The sequence below is a fragment of the Homo sapiens genome, chromosome 11 (genome assembly GCF_000001405.40).
Source record: "Homo sapiens chromosome 11, GRCh38.p14 Primary Assembly".
NCBI classification, from domain to species: domain Eukaryota; kingdom Metazoa; phylum Chordata; class Mammalia; order Primates; family Hominidae; genus Homo; species Homo sapiens.
In genome coordinates, this window is record NC_000011.10 from 68,258,456 (window position 1) to 68,285,241 (window position 26,786).

At 50.2% G+C, this 26,786-nt stretch overlaps 1 protein-coding gene and 1 long non-coding RNA gene across 9 annotated transcripts, besides 8 other annotated features; one reads left to right on the top strand and one right to left on the bottom strand.

Moving 5' to 3' along the window:
• Window positions 1–2,882: 2,882 nt before the first annotated feature.
• Window positions 2,883–13,518, bottom strand: C11orf24 (chromosome 11 open reading frame 24). Of its 5 annotated transcripts, none has more exons than NM_001300913.2 (5): window positions 13,402–13,518; window positions 9,599–9,796; window positions 5,237–5,411; window positions 4,276–4,463; window positions 2,883–3,270 (listed from the first exon to the last, which is right to left on the bottom strand). In NM_001300913.2, exons 3-5 carry the CDS (start codon window positions 5,310–5,312, stop codon window positions 3,190–3,192), a joined length of 345 nt encoding a protein of 114 aa, NP_001287842.1. In that variant the 5' UTR covers window positions 5,313–5,411; window positions 9,599–9,796; window positions 13,402–13,518; the 3' UTR covers window positions 2,883–3,189. The 5 variants fall into 5 exon arrangements, with proteins under 5 accessions (NP_001287842.1, NP_001425381.1, NP_071733.1 ...); NM_001438452.1 differs by having other exon boundaries at window positions 13,191–13,518; NM_022338.4 differs by having other exon boundaries at window positions 2,883–4,463.
• Window positions 4,313–4,513: a silencer, noted in NCBI's record as "peak1319 fragment used in MPRA reporter construct". NCBI's record gives its function as "represses an SCP1 promoter by STARR-seq MPRAs in K562 erythroleukemia cells {active_cell/tissue: K562}" and the evidence as "EXISTENCE:reporter gene assay evidence [ECO:0000049][PMID:32103011]".
• Window positions 8,823–10,022: an enhancer, noted in NCBI's record as "P300/CBP strongly-dependent group 1 enhancer chr11:68034746-68035945 (GRCh37/hg19 assembly coordinates)". NCBI's record gives its function as "activates an origin of replication core promoter dependent on BRD2, BRD4, P300/CBP, MED14 and CDK7 cofactors, with strong dependence on P300/CBP, by STARR-seq in HCT116 cells {active_cell/tissue: HCT116}" and the evidence as "EXISTENCE:reporter gene assay evidence [ECO:0000049][PMID:35650434]".
• Window positions 13,316–13,715: a silencer, noted in NCBI's record as "silent region_3665". NCBI's record gives its function as "represses an Ori minimal core promoter by ATAC-STARR-seq in GM12878 lymphoblastoid cells {active_cell/tissue: GM12878}" and the evidence as "EXISTENCE:reporter gene assay evidence [ECO:0000049][PMID:35858748]".
• Window positions 13,316–14,481: a biological region, named in NCBI's record as "H3K27ac hESC enhancer GRCh37_chr11:68039550-68040404".
• Window positions 13,627–14,481: an enhancer, noted in NCBI's record as "H3K27ac hESC enhancer chr11:68039550-68040404 (GRCh37/hg19 assembly coordinates)". NCBI's record gives its function as "activates a minimal SCP1, AML or CMV promoter by ChIP-STARR-seq in naive H9 embryonic stem cells {active_cell/tissue: H9 hESC(naive)}" and the evidence as "EXISTENCE:reporter gene assay evidence [ECO:0000049][PMID:30033119]".
• Window positions 13,647–26,429, top strand: LOC105369363 (uncharacterized). 4 transcript variants are annotated; one of them, XR_001748279.2, is made up of 4 exons: window positions 13,647–13,721; window positions 21,843–21,985; window positions 24,187–24,540; window positions 26,047–26,429. It is a non-coding gene; the product is annotated as an uncharacterized LOC105369363 (long non-coding RNA). The 4 variants fall into 4 exon arrangements; XR_950248.3 differs by lacking the exon at window positions 21,843–21,985 and having other exon boundaries at window positions 24,359–24,540; XR_950249.3 differs by lacking the exon at window positions 13,647–13,721 and having other exon boundaries at window positions 21,941–21,985; window positions 24,359–24,540.
• Window positions 15,595–15,654: a silencer, noted in NCBI's record as "silent region_3666". NCBI's record gives its function as "represses an Ori minimal core promoter by ATAC-STARR-seq in GM12878 lymphoblastoid cells {active_cell/tissue: GM12878}" and the evidence as "EXISTENCE:reporter gene assay evidence [ECO:0000049][PMID:35858748]".
• Window positions 23,716–23,875: an enhancer, noted in NCBI's record as "active region_5133". NCBI's record gives its function as "activates an Ori minimal core promoter by ATAC-STARR-seq in GM12878 lymphoblastoid cells {active_cell/tissue: GM12878}" and the evidence as "EXISTENCE:reporter gene assay evidence [ECO:0000049][PMID:35858748]".
• Window positions 24,086–24,185: an enhancer, noted in NCBI's record as "active region_5134". NCBI's record gives its function as "activates an Ori minimal core promoter by ATAC-STARR-seq in GM12878 lymphoblastoid cells {active_cell/tissue: GM12878}" and the evidence as "EXISTENCE:reporter gene assay evidence [ECO:0000049][PMID:35858748]".
• Window positions 26,430–26,786: the final 357 nt, after the last annotated feature.

A 26,786-nucleotide genomic window follows, 5' to 3' on the forward strand; every position in this document is an offset into this window, starting at 1 on the left:
GGGGCTGCATTGGGCCTGTAGTGCTGGGCAGAGGAGCTTGGGGCTTTCGGCAGGGACGGGTGTGGTTAGATTTGTGTTTTGACGGGTCCCTTGCCGCAGGGTGGAGAACGGATGAGCCAGGCTGTCTGGGAGCAGAGTGGGCAGGCAGTTGGTGGTGGGCCCAAGGCCGGGCAGCAGCTGGGGTCAGGACAGGGGAAGCGGCCGGAGTACTGAAACCTTTAGGATGGCCAGTTGGACTCAGGGGGAAGCACAGGTTTCTAAATCTGTTAGCCCACGTGGGGATGCCATTAGGTACAGGGAGGACCCCTGGGGCCAAACACACTCCTGGGGGCCGATGCTGAGGTTGGCCTTGGATGCTGAGTTTGAGGCACCTGTGGTCCAGGAGGAACGCCATCCAAGAGAGAACAATGGCAGGGGGTTTGGAATAGGACCCCCAAGGATGGAGGGGGAGAGTGTGACCAATGCTCTCAGAGGATAAAAGAATTCGGAGACTGGGTGCGATGGCTCATGCCTGGAATCCCAGTGGAGGCCGAGGAGGGTGGTTCACTTGAGATCAGGAGTTTGAGAGCAGCCTGGCCAACATGGCAAAATCCCATCTCTACTAAAAATACAAAAATTAGCCAGGCATGGTGGCATGCACCTGTAATCCCAGCTACTCGGGAGGCTGAAGCAGGAGAATCGTTTGAACCCAGGAGGTAGAGGCTGCACTCAGCCGAGATCGTGTCACTGCACTCCAGCCTGGGTGACAGAGTGAGATTCTGTCAAAAAAAAATTGGGGGCCCTGGCTGGGGCAGGGGGACTGACTGGCTGACTCTGCAGATCCCTGTGGCCCACTCCCTGGATGTAGGGGTGCCAGGCAGAGGCCGTTAGTCACAAGCTGAAGGCCAGCACTGCAGGTTACTCTTCATCCTACCTCCCCAGAAAGGAACGAGGTGCCCACAGTCTATGAGAACACCCCCCAAGCCACAGCTCACACAGGCCCAGGGTTCTGGCTCTCCCAGGGGAGGCTCAATGAGCCAGGGTGGAGAGCTGACCCTTAGCAGGCTGGTCCTCGCCTGGGCCACTGGGGTGAAGTCAGGCAGAGGAAAGGGCATCCTCCACAGCTCCGATTGTCTACCCATGGTGGGCAGAGCTGCCCATTCCGGGCAGACGGTGTCTTGTCAGATTCAAGGACAATGCTGCGAGCTGGCCTAGAGCTCAAGATGGCAAGGGAGACAAGCCAGGGGCTGGAACCAACCACCTTCCCAGCCAGCGCCAGTGCCTGTAGTTAAGCATGCAGATGCGACTCCGATGTGTGATGGCCAGGAAAGGAGACAGTCAGGCACAAGCTCTGTGGAGTGTGGCTGTCAGTCCAGAAGGCCTGACTCAGGCAGTGAAGGCTGGGAGAGGGGAAGGGGCCAGCAGGACGTGACAATGAGAAAGAAAAGGCTGGGGAAGCCGGGGTGCAGTGAGGGAGAAGACAGGAGGAGAGGACTGGGGGGCAGCTTCTGACCCATTCTCCCCACTCCATATTTTCCCAGCCTCGGCTTTGAAGTTACTTCAAATGGTTTGGGAGTTACCGTCTTAGCCTTTTATCCCAGGCCCTTTGACATCCTTTTTGGAGATGAACTTAAATAAGAAGCTGGCCACCCAAACCTAGCCCAGGGAGATCTTGGTGAGTGGGAGACAGGAGATTCCGGACAAAGATCAGCTCTGCCTCAGCGCCAGGTGGTTGAGAAGCCACAGCCAACTCCACAACCACTTTTGGGTGGGGCCCCATGCTGCCATGTTTACAGCAGATGCTGCTCTGTCTCTCCCCATTTCCCAGAGGAAGAAGCCGAGCTCCAGAACACTCTATAGCTTGCTCCAGGTCTCAGCAGCCGCAGACCTGGCCTGAGAACATGGCCTTACAAGATGCCCTGGCCACGTGTGGCCCATCAGCTCTTGCTGCCTTGGGCAGGTGGGCAGATGAAGGACCAAAGGCCAAGCTCAGGCTGGGCAGGTGGCAAAGGAACCTAGTTAAACAAACAGCTGGGACTCTAGGACCAGGGCTCAATCCTGACTCTGGGCCTCCAGGAGTGACTTTGCTCTGTGCCTCAGTGGTCCCGTCTTCAAAATGGAGATTGTGATGCTGATCTCCTGGGGCTGAGGCAATGCAGCAGGTCACACATGTGCAGCAGGTTACACACACACAGTGGGTTGCACTCACGCAGCAAGTTACACACGCACAGCACATTACACACGCACAGATCACACACACGCAGCGGGTCACACACAGGTTACACACAGTAGGTTACACTCACACAGCAGGTCATACACAGCAGGTTACACTCACACAGCAAGTCACATTCACACAGCACAGGGACAGGGCAGGCATGTAACAAGCACAGAGCAAGTGCTGGCTGGATGTTCAGGATGGGAGCCTGGAATCCAGGGGAACTGGCCTAAGGAGCAGGCTCCGGGGTCGAATCCCAGGACTGGCCCTGGGGTCCTGGGTTACCTGGAGCAAGGGACTTGCACTATTCAGGACTAGCAATAGTGACCCCACCTCATGAGCAGGGCAGGATCAGATTCTGTTCTGCGCAGGTTCAGGCCGAGCTGGCCACACCACGGGGGTGATGTGTTGAATTTAGCTCCTTCACCCCTAAGGCTGGCTCCAGGAGGTTCATCGAACAGGTCAGAAAAAGGATTAAAGATGCTGGCTGTGGCCTCCTCTGGGGCCCAGGAGCCTCCCAGCAAGCACCAGGGCGGGCGTGGGTACCAGGGAGAAACCCAAGTCAGTGGCAACGACACAGTCAACCTCCAGGGTGCGGAGTGATGGTGCACATTCACAGAACAAAACCCTGCCACGTGCACGGCAGAAAGCAAGGCTCCCCAAGGAGCAGGATGCACCCACACGATTGTGGCGAGCAGTCAGTACTTTAATTCAGGTCAGGCTCCGACACCTGGGGAGACGGGGTCCTGCCCGCCCCACCCTGAGGTGGAACCCCCAGCTGCTCCTGGGCACAGAATCATTTACAAAAATAAATATGAAAAAAGCAGCAACTCTTTAGTGATCATGGAATTAATCTGACAGCAATTAAATGTGTTTAAGCATCTGGCATATCTCCTCAATTGCACCAAAAGAATTTGGAAGCACTTGGTTTGGTCTCAAAGGCAAAAGGAAAGGACGAGGAAGGGGCCAGGCCTCCCGCCAGGCCCCCGCCCCCCTCACATTTCTGAGTCCGCATACATCCCGTTGATTAAGTAGTCCACCTGGGTGTAGTCCTTCTTCTTGTAGCTCTCATAGGCCTGCAGGGCAAACAAAACCAAGACTGTGATGAAAAGGGTCACCCCGAGTAACAGCACCACCAGAAGGAGAGTTTTGTCTACCACGGCCTGGGTGAGGGGCTCAGTGGTGACCACCATGTACTGGCCTTGGGTGCTGGGCTGGCACGAGTCCGTGGCTGGCATCTTAGTGCCCCCTGAGCTCCTGGGTGTTGGCCCAGTGGAATCAGTACCTGGTGTGGCTTCAGTCTCTACCTGCTCCGGTGCCTGGGATGTGCCTGGCCCAGCGGCCCTCTGGGTATATGGCATGGGGCTTGGCTGTGTCGTGGGGGACATGGCCTCCATCTCAGGGATTGGGCTGGTGTGAGGTACTGGCACTGGGCTGGCAGTTGGCTCCCTGGCTTGTGCCTTGGTGGTGGTCACCACTGTGGGGGTGGGGGCGGGCTCTGGGGTTGTGTTTGAGGGCATGGGTGTGGATTTATTTGTTGTGTTAACCACAGGCTGGTCCACTGACACCTGGCTAATGGGACCTTGTGCTTGGGGACGCATAGGGGGTACAGGGCTTGCCGCGGTGTCACTGGGCATGTGCTTGGAAGGACTTGGACGAGTGCTCATGGGGCTGCTTGTGTTTGCTGTGGTCGCTACAGTCTGAGCACGTGTGGCCAATGTGGCCAGGGTTGCTGTTCTTGGCAACGCGCTGCTCTTTGGCACTTGTGCGAGGGCTGTGCTGAGAGATGGATGCCCAGTGGCGGTAGTGGACGGGGTCCGCCCTGTGGAAGTGGACGTGGGCGCGGGGAGTGCAAGTGTCATGGGAGTGCTGGAGGCCGCAGTCATACTGGAGGCTGCAGTCGTGGGAGCAATGGAGGCCACAGTTGTACTGGAGGCTGCAGTCGTGGGAGCACTGGAGGCCACAGTCATACTGGAGGCCGCAGTCGTAATGGAGGCCGCAGTCGTACTGGAGGCCACAGCCGTGGGAGCAATGGAGGTCACACCATCAGCTGCACCTCCTGAAGTTGCTGGTTCACTCACATCTGTCCTGCTTGTGTCCTCTGTTGTGACTTCCATAGAGTTGAGGTGGGCTGCCGAAGTCCCTTTGGTCAATGTGACAGGAGAAGCTGCTGCCATGGTTACATCCTCAGACGTTTTATTATCAACTGTTTCCACAGATGCATTCCTCTTGACTAATCCCTTCCACATTTTGTTAGGGACAAAGTTGCCTTAAAGTCAGAAAAAGGAGAAAAAGAGAGACAATCATGTTCAATCCTGCACAGGGGGATTGCTCAGGGATCGGCTTCCACCCAGGCCTGTGGGGCCCCCTCCTCAGCCCAGCCAGAGTCGGGGGAGGTGATGTGCGAACATGCTTCCTCCCCATCTCTCTTCCCACTGTTGGCATGCAGCTCATTGAAAAAGCCCTTGTCAATTTGATTTTAAAACTCCTTTGCCCTCTATGAACCCCCTGCCCATTGAAGGCTTCAGACCTTCACTATTTGATCCAATTCCCAAAACATCAGAGTAAAAGTCTCACACAACAGGTGTGATTCACCATTAAAAGCCCACTGAACGCACACCCAGGTTTACAAAGCAGATAAACTGCACAGGTATTCACATCATAAAAGAACGCTTGGCTTTGTGAAAGGATTCACTGCAGGAATTCTTGGAAATGAATGGCACAGAGTGGGAACGCAGTTAAAGATCTGATGTATGAAGGAATCAATTCCCCAGTGAAGATTCAATTTAGAGATGACATCAAATCTTGCAGGCCAAGCGAGCAAACCTTTCAGGGCTCAGCTGCCTGGTCCTGCTAGGGGCTCTTTGCCCACCATGGCCCTGGAGAAGGAAGGTTGGCCTGACAACCCTTCCCTGTGCGGCACCTGGGAGGGCTGCGGTTCCTGACGCGTTGGCCTGGGTTTGCAGATGCTGCTTTCAAGGGCTCAGCATGCTTTGTGGCCACCGTGGGCCCATCCAGCAGTCACACAGCTTTCTCACTTACGTGGATCGTTGGATGCCGCATGGCTTTCAGATAAGGACAAGGAGAAAATCCAAATGAGCACAAGAGCTGTCCACATCTTGTGGGTGAGCTGGGAGCAAGGCTGGGCGGTCCCCGAGGCTCCCAGCCAGCCAGCTCCTCAGGCTGCTAATGGTTCCCTCCTGCTTGGCCAAGGGATCTGTGGTCAAGAAAGCACGCTGGTCAGAAGGCGTCTGGCCAGCAACACACAGCCTTGCCTGAGAGCACCTGCTGTGGAGGGCTCTGGCAGGGTCCAAGGTGCAGACTGAGCCAAGTGCTGAGACCAGGGCCTGGTGCCCAGGAAGACCTCAGCCATGGTATAGTAATGAACTGCCCTGTGCTTTGCATCTGATCACTTCTTGACCCGATTTCACTATGAATCTCAACCTGCAAAAGTTCCCATTCTCCCATCCTAGAGTTCAGAGTTTAAAGGAGCAGGAGAGAGGGCTAAGACTTGGTTGTGTTCATAGGGTGAAGGCCTTCTCATCACCAAGACTGGTCAAGTCTTCCTCCTCAGCTTCCCCCATAGTCTGCAGAGTACAAATCAAGCCTAATGCACCCCATGTGCACCCTGTGACAGGTGACTGTGCCTTTCACATGGGAGATACTACTTAACCATTCATCCATCAATCCACCCATTCATCCATCCACCTGCCCGCCCACCCATCCATCCACCCACTATTCTATCCATCTACTCATCTGTCCATCCATCCATCCACTCACCCATCCATCCATCCACTTACCCACTTACCCATCTATCCATCCATCCATCCATCCACCCACCCATCCATCCACCCACTCATCCATCCACCCACTCATCCATCCATCCATCCATCCATCCATCCATCCACCCACTATTCTATCCATCTACTCACCTGTCCATCCATAAGTCCATCCATCCATCCATCCATCCATCCACCCATCCATCCACCCACTCATCCATCCATCCACCCACCATATCCTATCCATCTGTTCATCTATCCATCCATCCACCCACCCACCCATCCATGCACCCAGCCATCCTTTCATCCAATATTTACTTAGTGCTTTCTCATGTGCCAGGCAGTACACTTAGGACAAAAAGGTGAAAAACACACAAGCTCTTCAGGGACCTGCAGTCCATGGGAGACACAGAAAAGAGGTCATTGCAGGCTGGCACAAGCATTGTGCAGGGTGTGACTCAGTGCTGGGAAGCAAGGAGGAGACAGTATGCGGGCAGGCCTTGAAGAGTGAGGTAGGCTGATACTCTGGGCAGAAGCCCCAAGGGTGGCTGGGCCCCAGAGGACAGGGTGCCACAGGGGCCCAGAGGACACAGTTCAGCCAGTGGTGGTGTGGTCGGCATGCCAAGGAAGGCTTCCTGGGAAAGCGATGCCTGGGCCGCATTCTGAAAGCTGGGTGGGGGTGGGCAGGCAGGTGGAGAGGGAGCAGCAGATGACAACAGCAGGGTCAGAGGCAAGGAAGAGCGTGGTGAGGCGGGAATTAGTCTGGAGAGCGTGAGGAGGCCCCATGAGCCATGTGGCAGTTTAGATTTCACAGTAGGGGGATGCGAGTCCCTCCGGGGCCTTAGACAAGAACAGAAAGGTGCTTTTAGCAAGAGGGGAGGCAGGGGCAGCCAGTGAGGGGCAGCGATCCAGGCACCTGATACAGAGGCTCTCTCAATGAATGAAGGCATGAGTGAATGAGTGACTGACCCACTTCAGAGACTGCAGTGGTCCCCACAGCCGGCCCAAGTTGCTGTAAAGCAAAGCCCTCTCCTTCATTCTAATGCTCCACAGAAGTGATGTGGACGCCTTAACACATTTTTATTTTTTTGAGATGGGTCTCGCTCTGCTGCCCAGGCTGGACTGCAGTGGCATGATCGTACCTCACTACAGTTTTGACCTCCCAGGCTCAAATGATCCTCCCACCTCAGCTGGGATCACAGGCGCATGCCACCACACCTGGCTATTTTTTTTGTGTGTGTGGAGAGAGGATTCTTGCTATGTTGCCCAGGGTGGTCTCCAGCTCCTCGGCTGAAGCAATCTTCCCACCTTGGCCTCCAAAGTATTGGGATTACAGGCATGAGCTATTGTGCCCGGCCCTTAATGTATTATAAAAAAATTATTTGGTTTGGTTTATTTGTTTTGTTAGATAAAATAATGAAAACAGTCACAAGGTAACCAGCACTTAGCAGCCCACAGCAAAGTGTGGCCCCAGCTGCATAGCTGTAGGCAGACTGGGGCTTTGGGGTGCTGGGTGAGCTGCCCATTGGTCACTCAGGGACGAAGGGGCCATTGAATGCATGAGTGGCAGAAGCAGCCTTTTAGCTCTTTCAGCATTCACTGTCATTCCCTTGAGGAAGCTACTGTAATAGGGTCAAGAGACCATGCAAGGGGAGTGGGAGACCAGCAGGACACACAGAGGCCAACAGCACTGCCTGCGTTCCAACTCCAGCTCCCATGCTCACTAACCAAGTGACATGTGCAGCCACAGGACCTCTGAGCCCCGCTGAGCTGCATGGGAGTGACATGGGACATGGGATCACACGGGCAAGGACCCAGCATGGCGCCTGGCTTAGCCAGCAGCCCACCCGAGAAGCACTTCCAGCTACGCAAAAGCAGCCACTGCGCAACAAGAAGCCCCTGGGTGGCTTCCTGCCTCCTGTAATCCATGTGGACTGTTGTCAAGCTGCCCCGGGGCTGGAGAAAGCCCTTAGAGCACACACTCCTCTGGAAGGCTGGTGTGTTCCACGAGACTTCCGGTCTCTTTCCAAGAGTCACTAACTTTTCTCTAGCTTCAAATGGTGCTTTCTCTTCAAAATGGTCTGTAAGGGCTCCTAATGTGTTAGGGGCTTAGAAAAATTACTTGGCCTTACAAACCACAGATCTAGAGTGCAAAAAGCATTCTTTGTTCTGACAGAAAAAAGTGTGGCGGGGGGGATGGGGAGAGAAGAAACTAACCAATATCATGCAAGGCAGAACTGAAACTGGAAGGTTTCGGGCACAAAGAACTCACAATCCTCCACGGGTCAAGGCAGTGCAGCTGGGCTTTTGATAAATATGAGTATTTAAATGGCTCTCTCTTGGGCCAGTAACATCTACCGAATGTTTTTAAAATGCTACCACCCCTGGTATGTTCCCCAGGCCCGAGCCCGGGATTTGAGGTCCTCTGGGTGAGTTAAAGGTGAGATGATGTGGCAGGGGCTTCTTATGGGTGAAGAGGGTCTCGGCTCCTGAATGTACCCCAGCCCCAGGCCTTCTGCTGCCCCCTCACTACAAATCTCTAGGGCAGGGGTCAGCACACTTTCTCTATAGAGGACAGGATGGCAAATATTTGGGATTCTGTGGGCCATTTGGTCTGTGTCTTAGCTACTCCATTCTGCCGCTACGGTACAGAGGCAGCCCTGGAATAGAAGTGAATGGTGGGCATGGTTGTGTCCCAATAAAACTTTATTTATACAAACAGGCAGCAGGTGGGATTCGGCCACAGTTTGCTAGCCCCTGCTTTAGCACTTCAGCCAGCTTCAGGGACCGTGCTCCAGCTACAGCAGGGAGGATCAGACTCAATGTACTGAATGAACCTCCTCCTTCTTGTCCAGTTCTTTGCCTTGGAACAGACAAGGACCTTCTCCTTCCTGAGAGGGGACAGCCTTTCATCATCTTCTGCTAAGAGGCGCCCCTCCACCACCCTGCATGAGTAAGACACAGCCTCCCTGCAGCACAGAGGAGGCTTCTGTGAGTGCCCACGGCATCACCAAGGTCAGGGAGAACCTCTTGAGGTAACTTGCATTTGTGTCACGAAGCCGAAGAGGGTTGCAGGGGATTGCGTGATCCCCATCCTGTTCATGGGCCACCACCCCAGTCCACTCAGAAGATAAGGCCTCCTGATCAGATGCAATGACTCATGCATGTAATCCCCGCACTTTGAGAGGCTGAGGTAGGCGGATGGACTGAGCTCATGAGTTAGAGACCAGCCTGGGCAACATGGCGGAACCCCATCTCTACAAAAAATACAGAAATTGGCCAGGACTACAGGTATGCATCTGTAGTCCCAGCTACTTGAGAGGCTGAGGTGGGAGGATGGCTTGAACCTGGGAGGCAGAGGTTGCAGTAAGCCAAGATTGCACCTCTGCACTCCAGCCTGGACCACAGAACCAGACATTGTCTCAAACAAACAAACAAAAAAAAATGGAGGCAGGGCCTCTGACAGTTAAGGGCCACAGACTGGGCCTGGGCCTTCCTTGGTTACTATAAGGCCTGGCTGTCTTTCCTTTTCCCTTGACCCTCTGATGATCTTGCAAAGCTCCCTCTGGGCTCACCGTCCCATCACCCAACAAGCAGGCCCAGCCTGCAGGGCCAGGACACTTACCAGAGGCTGCTGCTAAGGGGATGCTCCCAGCCTGGACCATCTTCCTCCTTGGAGAGCTGTGGGCTTGACACTGTGTCGCTGGGCGAAGTCTGGCTTTGCAGGGGGTGAAAGCCACGTGGTGGGGCACTCCCGGGCCATGCCATCCTTTGTGGCACATGTGAGACGAAGGTAGACTCTCCACTCTAGTAACAGACGCATCTAGAGTTTGAAAAAAAGTCCACATTCCTTATGAAAGGCATGAAGGAAAATTCCAGTGAGGAGGGAGGCACAAAAAGAGCAGAATTCAATAGATCATTCATTCCACTGGGAAAACGACAACATGGATCAAAGCTTTCAATGTCAAAACTTCCAATGCAGGCTGGGTGCGGTGGCTCACGCCTGTAATCCCAACACTTTGGGAGGCCGAGGCTAGTGGATCACGAGGTCAGCAGTTCGAGACCAGCCTGACCAACATGGTGAAACCCCATCTCCACTAAAAATACAAAAAAATTAGCTGGGCGTGGTGGTGGGCACCTGTAATCCCAGCGACTTGGGAGGCTGAGGCAGGAGAATCGCTTGAAACCAGAAGGTGGAGGTTGCAGTGAGCCGAGATTGAGCCACTGCACTCTAGCCTGGGCAATAAGAGCAAAACTGCGTCTCAAAAAAACAAAACAAAAAACAACAACGACTTCCAATGCAGCAACTTCTACTGCAGTTTCTTTTAAGGAAGCACTCAGACAGAGGTCCAAAGATGATCTACAAAGATATTTCTCACAGCATTATTTAGAAAGAGTAAAAAACTGGAATAGTTCTGTCAAGTATGGCCCCATTCATATATAAAATACTATGGCAACTGTTAAAAATACACAACTCTCTACTTATTGACATGGGAAGATATATAGCATGCATCAGTAAATGAACACGGCAGGTTACACAGCAACGTGTGGACCATGATCCTATTTTTGTTAAAAGGGACATTTATTCAAGGGTCTGGAAAGATTTGCACTAGAATGTTAATGAATATCCCTGGGGAATGGATTCACCTGTGATTTTCATTCTCTACTTCATATCTTTCCTTCTTTTTTTTTTTTTAACAAGCATGTATCACTTTTGGAAAACATTTCTGAAAGGCTCCAAGGAAAGAAAACAGCATATTTTCTTCAAGTACTTCAAGCCACTAAGCAGAAAGGCACAGAGTTATCCCACCTGATACAGTTTCACATGCTGATTTCCATAATTTAGAGAGACTACACGATCTATATATCAGGAGAGACATTTTCCTAGGAGCCAACCAAAACTTCGGAGGAATCCAGGAGCAAAGCCATAATGCAAAGATGTCAACCGGCACAAATGCTTCTCTCATTGATGAATATTTAACGCGTACTCAGGAGATTACAGAAACAGCTCGTCACCTCTTATCATGGGAAGGTTATCAGTAGGTGGTGATATCAAGGACCACCATGGGCCTGCTCCCAACACAGATGCCCACGTGTGCACACACAGCCACACATACATGCACTTAGTCACACACGCTTGTGTGCGCACAGCTGCACATATGTCCATCTGCACATGCACACATGCCACCACACATGTGCACTCACACAGGCACACACATACACATGCAAAATCACACACACAAAGGTGAGGGCACACACACGGAGCAGGTCCACAAGGCTATATCAGGACACTCCACGGGTTTCTCAGGAAACTTCTGCTGGATACCATCACCACTTACTCCCTCCCAGCCGGTGGGGCTGGTGGTCACTCCCACAGAAACAGGAATTGGCCACTGTGTAGTCGAGAACAGGCCTTCATTGTCCTATGACTTCATCCCTCTGCTATGGTCCTGCCTCCACTTTCCAACAGAATATTCTAAATGTCAAGATCCCATGCGGGAACCTGTGGTCATCTATGTAAGTTGACTCATGATGGACAAACCATTAACAACATTTAAAATAACAGTTTCCCCTGCAAAGGCTTCAAGCCAAAATTAGGATGTGGGTCTCGGGACCCCACCAGTTATTCTCATTATTATGTGGTACAGGGAGACTGGGTAGATCAGGGTCTCAGACCATAATAGATGGGAAAAAAGAGACCCCAGGGGCAGGAGGGGAATGAGCGAGAGAGAATTAAGTTTGTATTAAGTTGGAGACCAGGGCAGATGGAAAGACGGAAGGTTAGGCTGGCACTGGGAGCTCCCTTCTTCAGGGGTCAGCTCCCCATAGGATCTGCAAGGAAGGTGCAACAGGATACTCCCTTGAGCCATGTGACACTCCATGACAAAGGCACCCCCAACTATGCCCCTGGGTGTCAACCTCCCTATCCTTTTCTGGTTCATGACCTCGAGATGCCTCCCAAGGCATCTTGTCTGAATTCTTGTGTTCCGAACCTTGGCTTGTTATATGTGGCGCACTTTATGCAAGTTACACAAAACTGGACTCCAGGCGTGGTGCTGCATGCCTGTAATCCCAGACACTCAGGAGGCTGAGGTGGGAGGATTACAAGCCCAGAAGTTTGAGTTCAGCCTGGGCAACATAGTGAGACCCCATCTCTTAAAAAAAAAAAAAAAGGGAAAGAAATAACTTAATTCTTTTTTTCTGGCATAGAGAGGTTCCAAAGACCAATCCTGAAGCTTGGTAAAGGACTACAGCTGTTACCCCCACATTCTATCAGGCTATTAAGACTCACTCAGCCGCAACATGGCCAGGCCCCCACACCAAGTTAGGCAAGCTACAGATACCAAGGAGTAGGAACTGCAAACACAAATACAGGGCAAACTGCAGGTACCTAATCCTGACACGTCACCTGGCTGAACTTTGGTAGCAGAAGCCCAAGGAACACAGACTTATGGCTTTGTGTATATAGACATTGTCCTGTAGTCCAAAGGATGTGACTCTGTGGCAGACGGGAACCTAGAACATTGGACATTTATTATATTACATTAACTACCTTGCTTGCTTCCAGGTTTCTGGAAGTTTTGGTAACACAGCTAAATACTAGGGCCTAGTTTTTGCTAAGAACGTGGGTAGCTCTGACATTCCTTTGTCCATTAGGCAGATCCACTGTATAAATGGAAACATCTGTATTTTAAAGATTTTCCTAGCTGATTTTATCGAAATGTTAGAGATTTTCCTGGGGCGAGGGATAGCTGCAAGTTATTACAGTCAGATTTCTAAGCACGATGATTATTTCTGGTGGCAAACCATGCGTGTGGAGGCCGATTCCTCCTATCAGCCTAACGATTAAGTCAACATGCTAAGCAGCCACACGGGGGCTACTAAGTGACTCGCACGGGGGAAGCAGGCAGGGAGACAGATGGGCAGGGGAGGGAATCTGGGGCAATGCACAACCTCCACCCAGGTAGAGAGAGGGTCTGGGGGATAGGTCTGTGTCACTCAAGTAAGAGCGACACTTCTTGGGGTCCAGTCCCGTCCTGGGCTTGCCCGGGAAAGACCCCAGGACAAATTCGGCCCCCTTCCAGAGTGTCCCCATTCTGCTCCCACAATGGGACAAGCCGGCCTCTTCTCCAGTCTGGGCCCCCTTCGGCCCTCCTCCCTCCTCCTGTCTCTTGGGCCCCCAGCCATGCTCGGCCCCCAGTTGACTTCTTCAGTACCTGCATTGCTCAGCGTCTTGCACTCTGTGCGTGCCCCATCCGCCGCTCCTCCTGTCCCGTTCCTCCTGCCTCTCTCAGCCCCACTCACTCTCCCACTGCCCCTCGTGCCCCCATCCAACCCTCCTCCTGCCCCCCAACCTCTGTCTCTCAGTCCCAAGCCAGTCAGGGAGCCCTGACAGCAGCTACCCGGACGGCAGTGCGAGCCCCTTACCCGGGCGCAGCAGGCCCCCGGCGGCCTGGTGGCCCTCGGACAGTAGGAAGGAGCCTGAGGCCCGGCGCGGGGACGTGGCCGGCAGCGCAACCCAGGCAGCTCCGGGCAGCGCGCCCTGCCCGGGCCCCGCCCAAACGCCGGAAATGACGTCACGGAGGGCGGGGCGGGCCTGCTGGCCGGGGCGAAGAGCGGCTGCGGCGGGGCCTGTGGCGAACGGAGGCGAGCCGGAAGTGGGGGGGTTGTCTGCTCTCAGGCCCCGCCTCCCCGGGGCCGGCTCGGGCCACTTCTTGCGCGCTGCCAGAAGGAGCTATTTTGAGCAGGTCTGTGGCGGAAGTGGGTGTTCCCGGGTCTCTGCTGCCCAGCTGTGCCCGCTGCCGTCTTGGGGTCCCGGGGTGCGCGGGTTGGGCTGGGTGAGCTCAGAGGCACCTTGTCGGCAGCCGAGCCTGAAGAGGCGACCTCGAAACGCCTCGTGAGACCTTTCGCGGGCACACGCCCTTCGCGTTCCTCCGCTTCCTCCCACGTTTCTTCAGCCCCTGGCGGGGCGCTGGGGTGCCCGGTAGTTAAGGGTGGGGTGGCAGCGAGCGTTTCTGTGCACCCGCAGCGTGCCACGCCCGTGCTAAGCACTTTGCCTATAGAGCCAGTGGCTTAATTCTGCAATAGCACAGTGAAGAACTTCGCCTCATTTTACAGACGTGGAAACAGGCTCATCAAGTGCTCTGTAATTGTAAAACCTGGGATAACAAAGGAGCAAAACGCAATTTAGAGGCAAGTGTGTGGGACTTGACTTTGGTTAGAAATAGGCTTTGCAGGCCAGGCGCGGTGGCTCTTGCCTGTAATCCTAGCACTTTGGGAGGCCGAGACGGGCGGATTATCTGAGCTCAGGAGTTCGAGACCAGCCTGGGCAACATGGTGAAACCCTGTGTCTACTAAAATACAAAAAATTAGCCGGGCGTGGTGGCGTGCGCCTGTAGTCCCAGCTACTCGGGAGGCTGAGGCAGGAGAATTGCTTGAACCTGGGAGGTGGAGGTTGAAGTGAGCAGAGATCGTGCCACTGCACTCCAGCCTGGGCGACAGAGCGAGACTCTGTCTCCAAAAAAAAAAAAGAAAGAAAGAAATAGGCTTTGCAAGTTAGTAGTTCTGTGACTGAATCCCAGTCTGTATAAGACCCTCAGGCATCCCCCGGTCCAAACCAAAACCTGTCTGCGAAGGATGATTTCACAGGAGCAAACCAAGACTTTATTTCCAGTTTTATAACCTGCCTTGGGGTCTTCGGCTAGGAAGCTAAGAGACACAGAAAGCTGAGATTGGGCAAAGACAGGATCTACCATCCACTCCGAGCTCTGGGAGCACCTGAAATGCGATTTGATGTCACCACCACCATCCCCAGTTCAACCACAGTTCATGTGTGGAATTTAACCTGCAAAGTTGGGTTTGCTGAGACCCAACGCCGGTTGGATCATGTGAAGATCAGATCCTTTCACTATGTATTTGCTTTAATTTTTCCAACTAGTTCGGATCTAACATGAAGTACAGTATTGAGGCTCACTCCAGAAGTGAAAATATACAATCGGCAGGCAGATTTTAGTTCTTTGCCTGCCCTTTTCAAAAATCAATGACTGGGCTGGGCGCGGTGGCTCACGCCTGTAATCCCAACATTTTGGGAGGCCAAGGCGGGCGGATCACCTGAGGTCAGGAGTTTGAGACCAGCCTGACCGATATGGTGAAACCCGTCTCTACTAAAAATATAAAAATTAGCCAGGCGTGGTGGCGTGTGCCTGTATTCCCAGCTACTCGGGAGTCTGAGACAGGAAAATTGCTTGAACTTGGGAGGGGGAGGCTTCAGTGAGCCGAGATCTCACCACTGCACTCCAGCCTGGGCGACAGAGCGAGACTCCTTCTAAAAAAAAAAAAAAAAAAAAAAAAAAAAATCAATGACTGTGACTCTGTTTTCATTTCCTCTTTGGCAACATAGGGACAATTTTTACTGCTGGGGCTGAAATTACAAACATAAGACACAGCCTCTCCTCTAGAGCAGCTGGGCAGCTAGACCTCCATCTGCTTGCTTTTTTTTTTTTTTTTTAGACACGGAGTCTTGCTCTGTCGCCCAGGCTGGAGTGCAGTGGCGCCATCTCGGCTCACTGTAAGCCCCGCCTCACGGGTTCACGCCGTTCTTCTGCCTCAGCCTCCCGAGTAGCTGGGACTACAGGCGCCCGCCACCACGCCCAGCTAATTTTTTGTATTTTTAGTAGAGACGGGGTTTCACCATGTTAGCCAGGATGGTCTTGATCTCCTGACCTAGTGATCCGCCCGCCTTGGACTCCCAAAGTGTTGGGATTACAGGCGTGAGCCACCGCGCCCAGCCCATCTGCTTTCTTAAATTTCTATTGGAACAGAGTCATGCCTCTTCATTAGGTATTATCTGATGATAAAAGGGCACAGTCGACTAGTTGTAGAGACTATATGGCTCACAAGTCCTAAAATATTTACTCTCTGGCCCTTTACAGAATCTATTTGCTGATCTCCAGTCTAGAGTGTTACTGATGGGTTTCTGACACAGAAATATCTGGCTGAGATGGTCCAACATACCGGGAAACTCATTCTCTCCTATGAGAAAGTCATATTCTCTGATAGCATCTTTGGTCACCTGAAACCTAGTGTCCATTGAAGGCACAGCTCTGGGAACTGCAAAACTGTTCTGTGGAGTGTTATGGAGAGTAAAGCCAGGCAGACCAGCTGCTTCTGAGGGCTGTGGATAAAATAGAGAATGATACACTTACATCCTCTACCTTTTGTTTCCAGGCACAGATCATTTCAGGTGCCTTCTGTGCAGAAATAGCTGAATAAACTTGGAGCTTGGTCTCTTTGTTGTTGAATTTACAATGTTATTTGAATGTAAGACCTTGTAGATATGACATTTGAAAGTTAGGGCTCTGGAATGGCACTGCCTGGCTTCAGATCCTTCATTTTTTTGCTAAATGACAACAAACAAGAGGCTTAGGCTCTGTGCCTCCGTTTCATCATAGTCAATTCTGGTATTTGCAGTAGTTATGTTGAATAAAGTCACCCAGTACACGGACTTAGCAAATACTGCTCCTTGGAAACCACAGCTCCTAGGGAAGATACAGGGTTAGGTTCCTGTGAACCTCTGATCACAACATTTTTATCAACAGATCAATATACATAACTTTGTTTTTGTGTGTGTGTTTCTATTAAAGATGCTTTATTTAGGCCAGACACAGTGGCTCATGCCTATAATCCCAGCACTTCGGGAGGCCGAGGCAGATGGATCACCTGAGGTCAGGAGTTCAAGACCAGCCTGGCCAACATGGTGGAACCCTATCTCCACTAAAATCACAAAAATTAGCCAAGTGTGGTGGCCCATGCCTATAGTCCCAGCTACTGGGGAGGCTGAGGCAGGAGAATCACTTGAACCCGGGAGGTGGAGGCTACGGTGAGCCAAGATCACGCCATTGTACTCCAGCCTGGGCAACAGAGCGAGACTTCATCTCAAACAAAACAAAACAGAAACAAACAAAAAGAAGCCTTATTTAATGTCTATTATTGACTCATTAATTAACATTGAAAATGAGATGGGAATAATATAGGGTGGTCACAGGAGAATTAAATTCCAGGCAGCAGTTTTACATAACTAGAGACTATCGTCTTCTAAGACCCTGAAAAGCCAAGGTATGAACCAAGCTGGCTAAGACCAACTGGACCCAACATGGTGCTGGGCTTGACCCAGGCTTCCCCTAGGACCTCATTATGTGCTCATTAACATACTAAACACACAACCACCAGTACCATGACAATTTCAGGAACACTCAGATTTGGCGCATAAATGGGTGACACCACCGCTCCAAGAAATCTCTACCTTTTCCCAGGAATTTTCATGAATATTCCACCTCTTGGTTGAAGAAACCCATAAAGGTAGAAACCCCGAACCATTGCTCGACTTTCTCTTGAGTAGGCCTGCATTCCTCTTTCTTGAGTATGTAATTTTCACCTGGTAATAAGTCTTTGTACTTTCACTATTTTCTGACTCATCCTTGAATTCCTTTTCGTAATGACGTCAAGAGCCCGGGGTCAAGGTCCCACCTGCGTTTGGGCACCTCCCCAGCCCACTGGTATCAAACCCACAGACAATGGCATGTAACTCATGCCTGAATGAAGTACATCTAACATGTATTTTCTCCCTAAGACACACCTTTTGCACTGAGGAACACTAGATAACACTTCAACCCTACGTGTGGGGGCCATTTAAAAATGCAAAACCGCCACCCAAAAAAAAGCAAAAAATGACAAAAATGTGGCGCTAAACAGACCAAGAAAAGGACAGTTGTTGGCAGTAGGTGAGCAGAAATGAGGGCAGAGAGAGAGTGCTTGCTGGGTCTCAGCCAGGGACTCCAACACGCGGCGACTCGGATTTTCCCCACTCCAGGCACATGGCATGTACAGGCTCATGGCCTCAGAAACGCTGCAAGTATTGATTTGTGGGGGGAGGGGGGGAGGTTACACATAAATTTTTTACCTACTAAGTGAATTTGCAAATGTGGAATCTATGAATCATGAGAATCAACTGTATGCTAAAACAGAGGAGTAATAGGACCTGCCTCATCAGATGGCTATGGGAATTCAATGATATATGAGTGCATGTAAATTGCTTATAATGGGGCATTACACAGAGAGGACTGAGTATTAGCCACTTTTTTTGTGTGTTTTTTTGTTTGTTTTTGTTTTGCTTTTGAGATGGAGTCTTGTCCTGTTGCCCAGGCTGGTGTGCAGTGGCGCGATCTTGGCTCACTGCAACCTCCACCCCCTGAGTTCAAGCGATTCTCTTGCCTCAGCCTCCCTAGTAGCTGGGATTACAGGCGTGTGCTACCACACCCAGCTAATTTTTGTATTTTTAGTAGAGACGGGGTTTCGCCATGTTGGCCAAGCTGGTCTCAAACTCCTGACCTCAGGTGATCTGCCTGCCTTGGCCTCCCAAAGTGCTGGGATTACAGGCGTGAGCCACCACCCCTGGGCCCGTTGTTACTATTATTGATTACAAAAGAGCAGGACTCTGGTATTTGGAAGAGGATTCTCTAGAGTTTGGAACAACTTGAAGTCCCTGAGTCCCAAACCATTCCGAACCCCTCCACGGTGCCACCTTCGTCACACCAGGCAGAAGCCCTTCCCTTGTCACCGGAAACTCCCTCTGGAAGGAGCTGTTCTCTGTCATTAAAGGGAGTTCCCTTTCAGGAGGAAGCCAATACTCCCCTTCATGCTCCACCCTTTATTGTCATTATTTGAAAATAGAAGGTTTATTTTTATGTTCTGAACACAAAACTAAGAATATTACAATTATGAGAATTTTGAGAATAAAAGTGAATAATTGATGGGGATAGGAGTAAAATTAAATATGCATTATTGGTCTGAGCCTCCTGACATGTCTCTTATAATGTTCAGAAGTATTAATTTGGTTTTCGGGTATTCACCATGGATGGCCAGGGGAAAATTCTTAAGGCTACTACGGACTTACTCTGAGTTTTTTTATTTCAATTTTTTTAAAGCATATTAATTTCAATAAATTGTTACTTAATTTAGTTCACATGTATTTGATATGGTTTAAATAATTTTTATTGAGGATTAGTATACGTCCAGAAAAGTGCACATAAACGTTTACAGCTTGATGAATTTTCACAAACTGAACCACCCTGTGGAATGAACACTCAGTAACAGTGGCACCAGCGTCCTGGGGGCTCCCTTCAACCCCCCTTCCAGGCCCAAAATGAAAATGCCAAGTATCTGTGAAGACTCAGAGCAACCTGAACTCCCATAGAGTTGCTGGTGGGAATGGAAAATGGTACAACCACTTTGGAAAACAGTTTGGCAGTTAAACATACACATACGTGACCCAGCAGTCCCACTCGTAGGTATTTACTCTAGGGAAATGAAAACATACATCCACACAAATATCTGTAGGAAGTGTTTATAGCAGCTGTATTTGTAATTGCCAAAACTGGTAAAGGAAAAGCTTGTTCTACTCACAACACGTCTGACATCCATGTGTAGGTTTTCTTTTCTTTTCTTTTTTTTTCAAGACAGGATCTTTCTCTTATCACCCAGGCTGGACTGTGGTGGCACAATTATGGCTCATTGCAGCCTTGATCTCCAAGGCTCACACCGTCCTCCAACCTCAGCCTCCCAAGTAGCTGGGACTATGGGTGTGCACTATCCTCAGATAATTTTTTTTTTTTAATTTTTGTTAGAGACAGGGGTGTCACTACATTGCCCATGCTGGTCTCGAACTCCTGGCCTTAAGCAATCTTCCCTCCTCGGCCTCCCAAAGTGCTAGGATTACAGGTGTGGGCCACTGTGCCCAGCCCAACATGTGGGTTTTCCACACCAAGCAATTCTCTGCAGACGCCAACTGGGTATCCTACAATTTAATTCAATTTTGACACTAACTCTGTGGAGTTAGCACAGACCCCATAGGTTAAGAGCTCAGTCCCAGAAGACTGCCCCTGCTTCAGGCATCAACCCCAGGTAGTGGGTCCCCAGGTTACCACACTGGCTACAAATCAGAGGGGCCCACGAGCTCCTCCTTAGTTTTGTCATTTGCTAGAGCTCACAGAGCTCAGGGAAACACCTTACTTCCAGTTGCCGATTTATTATAAAGGATACAAATGAACAGCAGATGAAGAGAAGCATAGGGCAAGGTCTGGAAGGGTCCCAAACCCAAGAGCTTTTGTTCCCGTGGAGCTGGGGGTGCACCACGCTCCTGGCACATGTATGTGTTCATGAACCACAAAGTTCTCTGTACCCTGGCCTTTATAATTTTTTTTTTTTTTTTCGAGATGGAGTTCTGCTGTTCTTGCCCAGGCTGGAGTGCAACAGCGTGATCTCAGCTCACTGCAACCTCCACCTCCCGGGTTCAAGTGATCCTGCTGCCTCAGCCTCCCGAGTAGCTGGGATTATAGGCATATGCCACCACACTTGGCTAATTTTTGTATTTTTAGTAGAGACGGGGTTTCTCCATGTTGGTCAGGCTGGTCTCAAACTCCCCACCTCAGGTGATTCACCCGCCTTGGCCTCCCAAAGTGCTGGGATTACGGGCATGAGCCACTTCGCCTGGCCCAGGCCTTTAGACTTTTATGGAGGTTTTATTATATCGGTGTGATCGATTAAGTAATTGGCCATTGGTCATTAGCTCAATCTCAGCCTCTCTTCCCTCCAAAGAAGTGGGAAGGTGGAGTGGGGCTGAAAGTTCCAATCTTGTAATCATGCCTTGGTCTTTGTGGTGACCAGACCCCTCCTAAGCTATATAGGGGTCCCCAGCCATGCCAGTTGTCTCATTAGCATAGAAAAAGACACCATGATCACTCCTGAGACTCCAAGAGCTTTAGAAGCTGTGTGCCAGGAACAGGGGCAGAGACCACTTATATATTTCTTTTTATGTCACAACTGGAAACACCCAAATGCCAATCAATGGGTGAATGAATGGATATACAAATTGTGGTACGCCTTTAAAATGGACACTACCCAGCCATAAAAAGTCACGAATTACCGGCCAGGCACGGTGGCTCACGCCTGTAATCCCAGCACTTTGGGAGGCCGAGGCAGATGGATCACATGAGGTCAGGAGTTCGAGACAAGCCTGGCAAATATAGTGAAAAACTGTCTCTACTAAAAGTACAAAAATTAGCCAGCATGGTGGTATGCACCTGTAGTCCCAGCTACTCGGGAGGATGACTTAGGAGAATCGCTTGAATCTGGGGGGCGGGGGTTGCAGGGAGCCGAGATGGTGCCACTGCACTCCAGCCTGGGCAACAGAACGAGACTGTTTCAAAAAAAAAAAAAAAAAGTTACCAATTACCGATATATGCAACACCACCGATGAATCTCAAAAGCCATTATGCTAAGAGAAAGAGACCAGCTGTAAGAGATGACATACAGTAGGATTCCATTTATATGACATTCATGAAAACAAAAAAGTATAGAGACAGAAAACAGTAGCTGCCAGGGATGGGAGTGGGAAGACAGGAAATGACTTAGCGTTGCCAGAGAAAATACAGGTCGCCCAGGTAAACTTACTAAATCTGGCAACCCTAGATTGTCTACAGAGGGGGATAAAGGAAGTTTTGGGGATGATGGAAATATTCTATATTTTGATTGTGGTGATGGTTACTTGCCTGTGTGCATTTGTCATGGAGTCATGGAGATGTAAATTTTACTACATCTAAATTATACCTCAATAAATGTAGCTAAAAACAAAACAGCTGTAAAGAAAGGTAAAAGTCAAAAATGGAAAAATGGATTATGGATTATGATGGTAGTTAATGTGTGTGTGTGTGTGTGCGTGCGCGCACGTAGAATTGAACACTTAAAATAGGTGCATTTTATTCTATGTTAATTATACCCCCAATAAAGTTGATTCTTTTTTTTTTTTTTTTGAGGCGGAATTTTGCTCTGGTGGCCCAGGCTGGAGTGCAGTGGTGCGATCTTGGCTCACTGCAACCTCTGCCTCCCAGATTCAAGCAATTCTCCTGCCTCAGCCTCCCAAGTCGCTGGGATTACAGGTGCCTGCCACCATGCCCAGGTAAATTTTTTTTTTTTTTTTGAGACGGAGTCTCTCTCTGTCACCCAGGCTGGAATGCAGTGGCATGATCTCGGCTCACTGCAAGCTCCGCCTCCCGGGTTCACGCCATTCTCCTGCCTCAGCCTCCCGTGTAGCTGGGGCTACAGGCGCCTGCCACCACGCCCGGCTAATTTTTTGTATTTTTAGTAGAGACGGGGTTTCACTGTGTTAGCCAGGATGGTCTCGATCTGGGGACCTCGTGATCCACCCACCTTGGCCTCCCAAAGTGCTGGGATTACAGGCGTGAGGCGTGAGCCACCACACCCGGCCATGCCCAGGTAATTTTTTGTATTTTTAGTAGAGACAGGGTTTTGCCATGTTGGCCAGGCTGGTCTCGAACTCCTGACCTCAGCTGATCCACTCGCTTCGGCCTCCCAAAGTGCTGGGATTACAGGTGTGAGCCTCCAGGCCTGGCCAAAGTTCATTCTTTAGAAAGCAATATTAAAAATAAAGAAGGTTGGCCAGGCGCGGTGGCTCACACCTGTAATCCCAGCACTTTGGGAGGTCAAGGTGGGGGCATCACGAGGTCAGGCGATCGAGACCATCCTGGCCAACATGGTGAGACCCCATCTCTACTAAAAATACAAAAATTAGCTGGGCCTGGTGGCATGCACCTGTAGTCCCTGCTACTTCAGAGGCTGAGGTGGGAGAATCGCTTGAACCCAGGAGGCAGAGGTTGCAGTGAGCCAAGATCGCGCCACTGCATTCCATCCTGGTGACAGAGCGAGACTCTGTCTCAAAAAAGAAAGAAAAGAAAAGAAATAAAGAGGGTCACTTTATGATAAATGATAAAAAATTCAACTCACCAGGAAGACGTAACAATTCTAAATATTCTAAATCAGAATGTACCGATAACAAGACCTCAAAACTCGTTTTGTATTCTTTTGGAACTTGAGAAAATAATTCTAGCATTCATCTGTAACACTAAATGGTCAAAAATAGCAAAGAAGTTAGCATGCCTTTATTTCTCAAAATGGCTACAAAATATTTATTACTTTTATAATAGAAAAAGAGTGTTTTTGTTTTGTTTTTTGTTTTTTAAGACAGAGTCTTGCTCTGTTGCCCAGGCTGGAGTCCAGTGGCACAATCTCGGCTCACCACAACCTCCACCTCCCTGATTGAAGCAATTCTCCTGCCTCAGCCTCCCGAGTAGCTGGGACTACAGGCGTGTGCCACCATGCCTGGCTAATTTTTTGCAATTTTAGTAGAGACAGGGTTTCATCATGTTAGCCAGGCTGGTCTCGAACTCCTGACCTCATGATCTGCCCGCCTTGGCCTCCCAAAGTGCTAGGATTACAGGCGTGAGCCCCCGCGCCCTGCTGAAAAAGAGTGTTTTAAAATAGAAAACTGTTTTTTAGGAGAAATGCTCTTTAGCAACAACAACAACAAAAAAAAAACCCAACTTAATCCCAATACACATTTTAAAGTAGTATATAGCATGCAATAGCTGAGGTATAAACCTTCCTATCCATTCCTTATTAAATTATTGCCGGAAGTTCAAGTCACTCCACTCAAAAGGACTTCACATAAGTGGGAAAATCGTTCTTTGAGAAGAAGGTATATGATTTGATATTGTTTTGCCTAGAGAAGAAAAAGAAACAAACCCATTAGAGTGTTGCAGAACCTGAATGGTTTTTCAAGAATTATGTTGATCAACTTTCTGTGTAGAGTAGCAAATAACAAGTGTCACCGATTTGAACAATAGTGTATTTGGGAAATAGAGAAAGGGCTGCTTCCTGTCCTTTGAGATCTTCACAGCAACCACAAACCCTATCTTGTCATCTGTGTTCCGGCATGCCCAGGCACATTTGACCAATTCTAAACGCTAAACGTTACTCCAGCACCCAAGTGTAACCCGTCACGAGGTGAGTCACAATGAATCCTAACCAGGACCCCAGTGGGAAATGTGCCTCCCCTTTAGATTTCTGATTTCACTTCAGTTTCCCGGTAGCACTTATGGTGTCATTGATCACCCCTCCCCACCCCCCATCTCTTTCACAATTTTGTCTTCCGTGGGTCACGTATGTTTTGGAGATGTCTGACTTTCCCAAGAGCTGGTGTTGAATTTCCACCCAGTGTTTCCAGGACGGCAGCCTGTGTGAAGTGCTAGGGAAAGCCTTTTCATGCCTTGAAAAATACACACAAGTATTTCTCTTCCTGAGCTTCAAGGAGACTCTGCATTCAAAAGACCACTCCCGGGCACTGCCTTCTACCAACTTCCCCATCCAGCTCTGATTGCATCGGACCACTGTCTTCCCTCCATGCCTCCAGCCCTGAGGTTGTCAACGGGGTGCTCCAGCCTCCATGTGCACCCTGTGACTTCTTTCATCCTAGTCCTTCTGACCCTCGTGGCTTCTCCTGCTCCAAGGCCAAGCTCGGGACCCTGTCATCATCCCCGGGGACAGGCCCCATCTTAGAGAGGATCCACCCAGCTCCCCGCTCCTGAGCCATCTTCCAGCTATCCCGCCTCGAGACTCCCACCGCACCTGCTCCTGGGCTGCAGCTGCACCCAACAAGTAAGTCATTCTCTTGCCAATAGAGTGTCTTCCACGTCCTTGTCCTTCCCACACTCCCCTTGGCAACCCCACCCCGCCGGATGAATCCAGATGCCCACCTTCATGCCTGCCCCTGGGTGGGTGCTGAGGGAGACCCGTGGCTTTTTCCCGCAACCAGGCCTTCTGCGCTGCCAGAAACCCCATGCTCACCTGGCATGGCGCTCGCACCCAGCCCCCTCCACCATTTTCGAACCCACCTCATTCTCTTTCAGCAGGTCTTGCCTCTTTCTTCAACGAGAAAATAGCAGCCCTGTCATGGGAACTCCCTTAACTCCCTTCCTCCCTGCCTGCACGAGGCCTGAAGAAACACACGTCCATCCTTTTCTCCTCCCTTCCAGTAGCATTGGAAGAGGTGTTCTCACCAGTGAAGTATCTTCTCACCTGAGATGTGGGTTCTATCCCCCACAATCTCCTGGGGAACTTTATCCCACTGATTAACTACTGCCTCTCCGGGACGTCCCACCTGTCTCTACTGGAATCTTACCTTTTTTTTTTTTTTTTTTTTTTTTGAGATGGAGTCTTGCTCTGTTGCCCAGGCTGGAGTGTAGTGGCGCGATCTCGGCTCGCTGCAAGCTCTGCCTCCCAAGTTCACGTTATTCTGCCTCAGCCTCCTGAGTAGCTGGGACCACAGGCGCCTGCCACCACACCTGGCTAATTTTTTTTGTATTTTTAGTAGAGATGGGGTTTCACCATGTTAGCCAGGATGGTCTCGATCTCCTGACCTCATGATCCACCCGCCTTGGCCTCCCAAAGTGCTGGGATTACAGGTGTGAGCCACCGCGCCCGGCCTGGCATCTTCCCTTTAACAGTGACACATGGCAGGGCACAGTGGCTCAGCCTGTAATCCCAGCACTTTGGGAGGCCTAGGCAGGAGGACTGCTTGGACCCAGGAGTTCAAGACCAGCCTAGGCAACAAAGGGGGACCATTTTTCTCTATAAAAATCTAAAAAATTAGCCAGGTGAGGTGGCATGCCTCTGTAGTCCCAGCTACTTGGGAGGCTGAGGTGAGTGGAGTGCTTGAGCCCAGGAGTTCAAGATTGCAGTGAGCTATGATCATGCCACTGCACTCCAGCCTGGGCAACAGAGCAAAACCTCGACTCAGAAAAGAAAGGAAAAAAGAAGAAAAGAGAAATAGAGCTTTTCCAGCTCTCTGAAAGCTGTGTGTTGCTTGTTCCTTGCACACATCCCTTTTCTCCTTCCCTGTGGGTAACAAACTCTTGGTTTTTGTGAGCACCATCTCCTTGCTTTTTGTTATAGTTTGACACCTTTGCATGCATTCCTAGTCAAACTTGTTTCATTTTGAGCAGCGTATGAATGAATCGTGCTGCATGCATCCTTCTGTGCCTGGCTTCCCATGCTCTTCATCATGCTTTGGTTGTTATATGTAGCTGTAACTTGTTTATATTTATTGCTGTTTGGCATGTTATTATGTGAATGATCACGATTTGTTTATCTGTTTCCCTGTAGGTCAACATGTGGATTGCTTCTAGAATTTGGATATTATGAACACTGCTGTGCTGAACATTCTTGTACACTTATATGGTTTGGCTGTGTCCCCACCCAAATCTCATCTTGAATTGTAGCTCCCATAATTCCTATGTGTCGTGGGAGGGACCCAATGGGAGGTAATTGAATCATAGGGGCAGGTCTTTCCCCTGCTGTCCTTATGATAGTGAATAAGTCTCATGAGATCTGATGGTTTTATACATGGGAGTTCCCCTGCACAAGCCCTCTTGTCTGCCGCCATGTAAGATGTGCCTTTGCTTCTCCTCTGCCTTCCACCATGATTGTGAGGACTCCCCAACCATGTGGAACTGTGAGTCCATTAAACCTCTTTCCTTTGTAAATTACCCAGTCTTGGGTCTGTCTTTATTAGCCGCATGAGAACATACCAATTTATACACATCTTCTGGAACCCATTTCTTTCTGGTAGGTACTAGGAGTGACACTGTCAGGCTGTAGGATATAAGATGCTTCAACCTTATAAGATAATGCCAACGGAGTGTATGAAAGCCCCATTATGCTACATCTACCCTATTCTTGGTATTGTCAGACTTTTAAATGTTTGCTTCTCTGGTTGATACGTAATAGAATTTTGTTGTGGTTTTAATTTGCATTTTTAAAATTCCTAATGAGGATGGGCACCATTTCTTGTATCTGTTAACCATTTGGATTTCTCTCTTACAAAATACCCGTTCAAGAGTTTT

Bases quoted from the DNA above. Each gene is read 5' to 3' on its own strand.
- C11orf24 (NM_022338.4), bottom strand. From the start codon at position 5,312: ATGTGGACAGCTCTTGTGCTCATTTGGATTTTCTCCTTGTCCTTATCT. The intron at 4,464-5,236 runs GTAAGTGAGAAA...TCTGACTTTAAG, and splicing joins TGCGGCATCCAACGATCCAC to GCAACTTTGTCCCTAACAAA.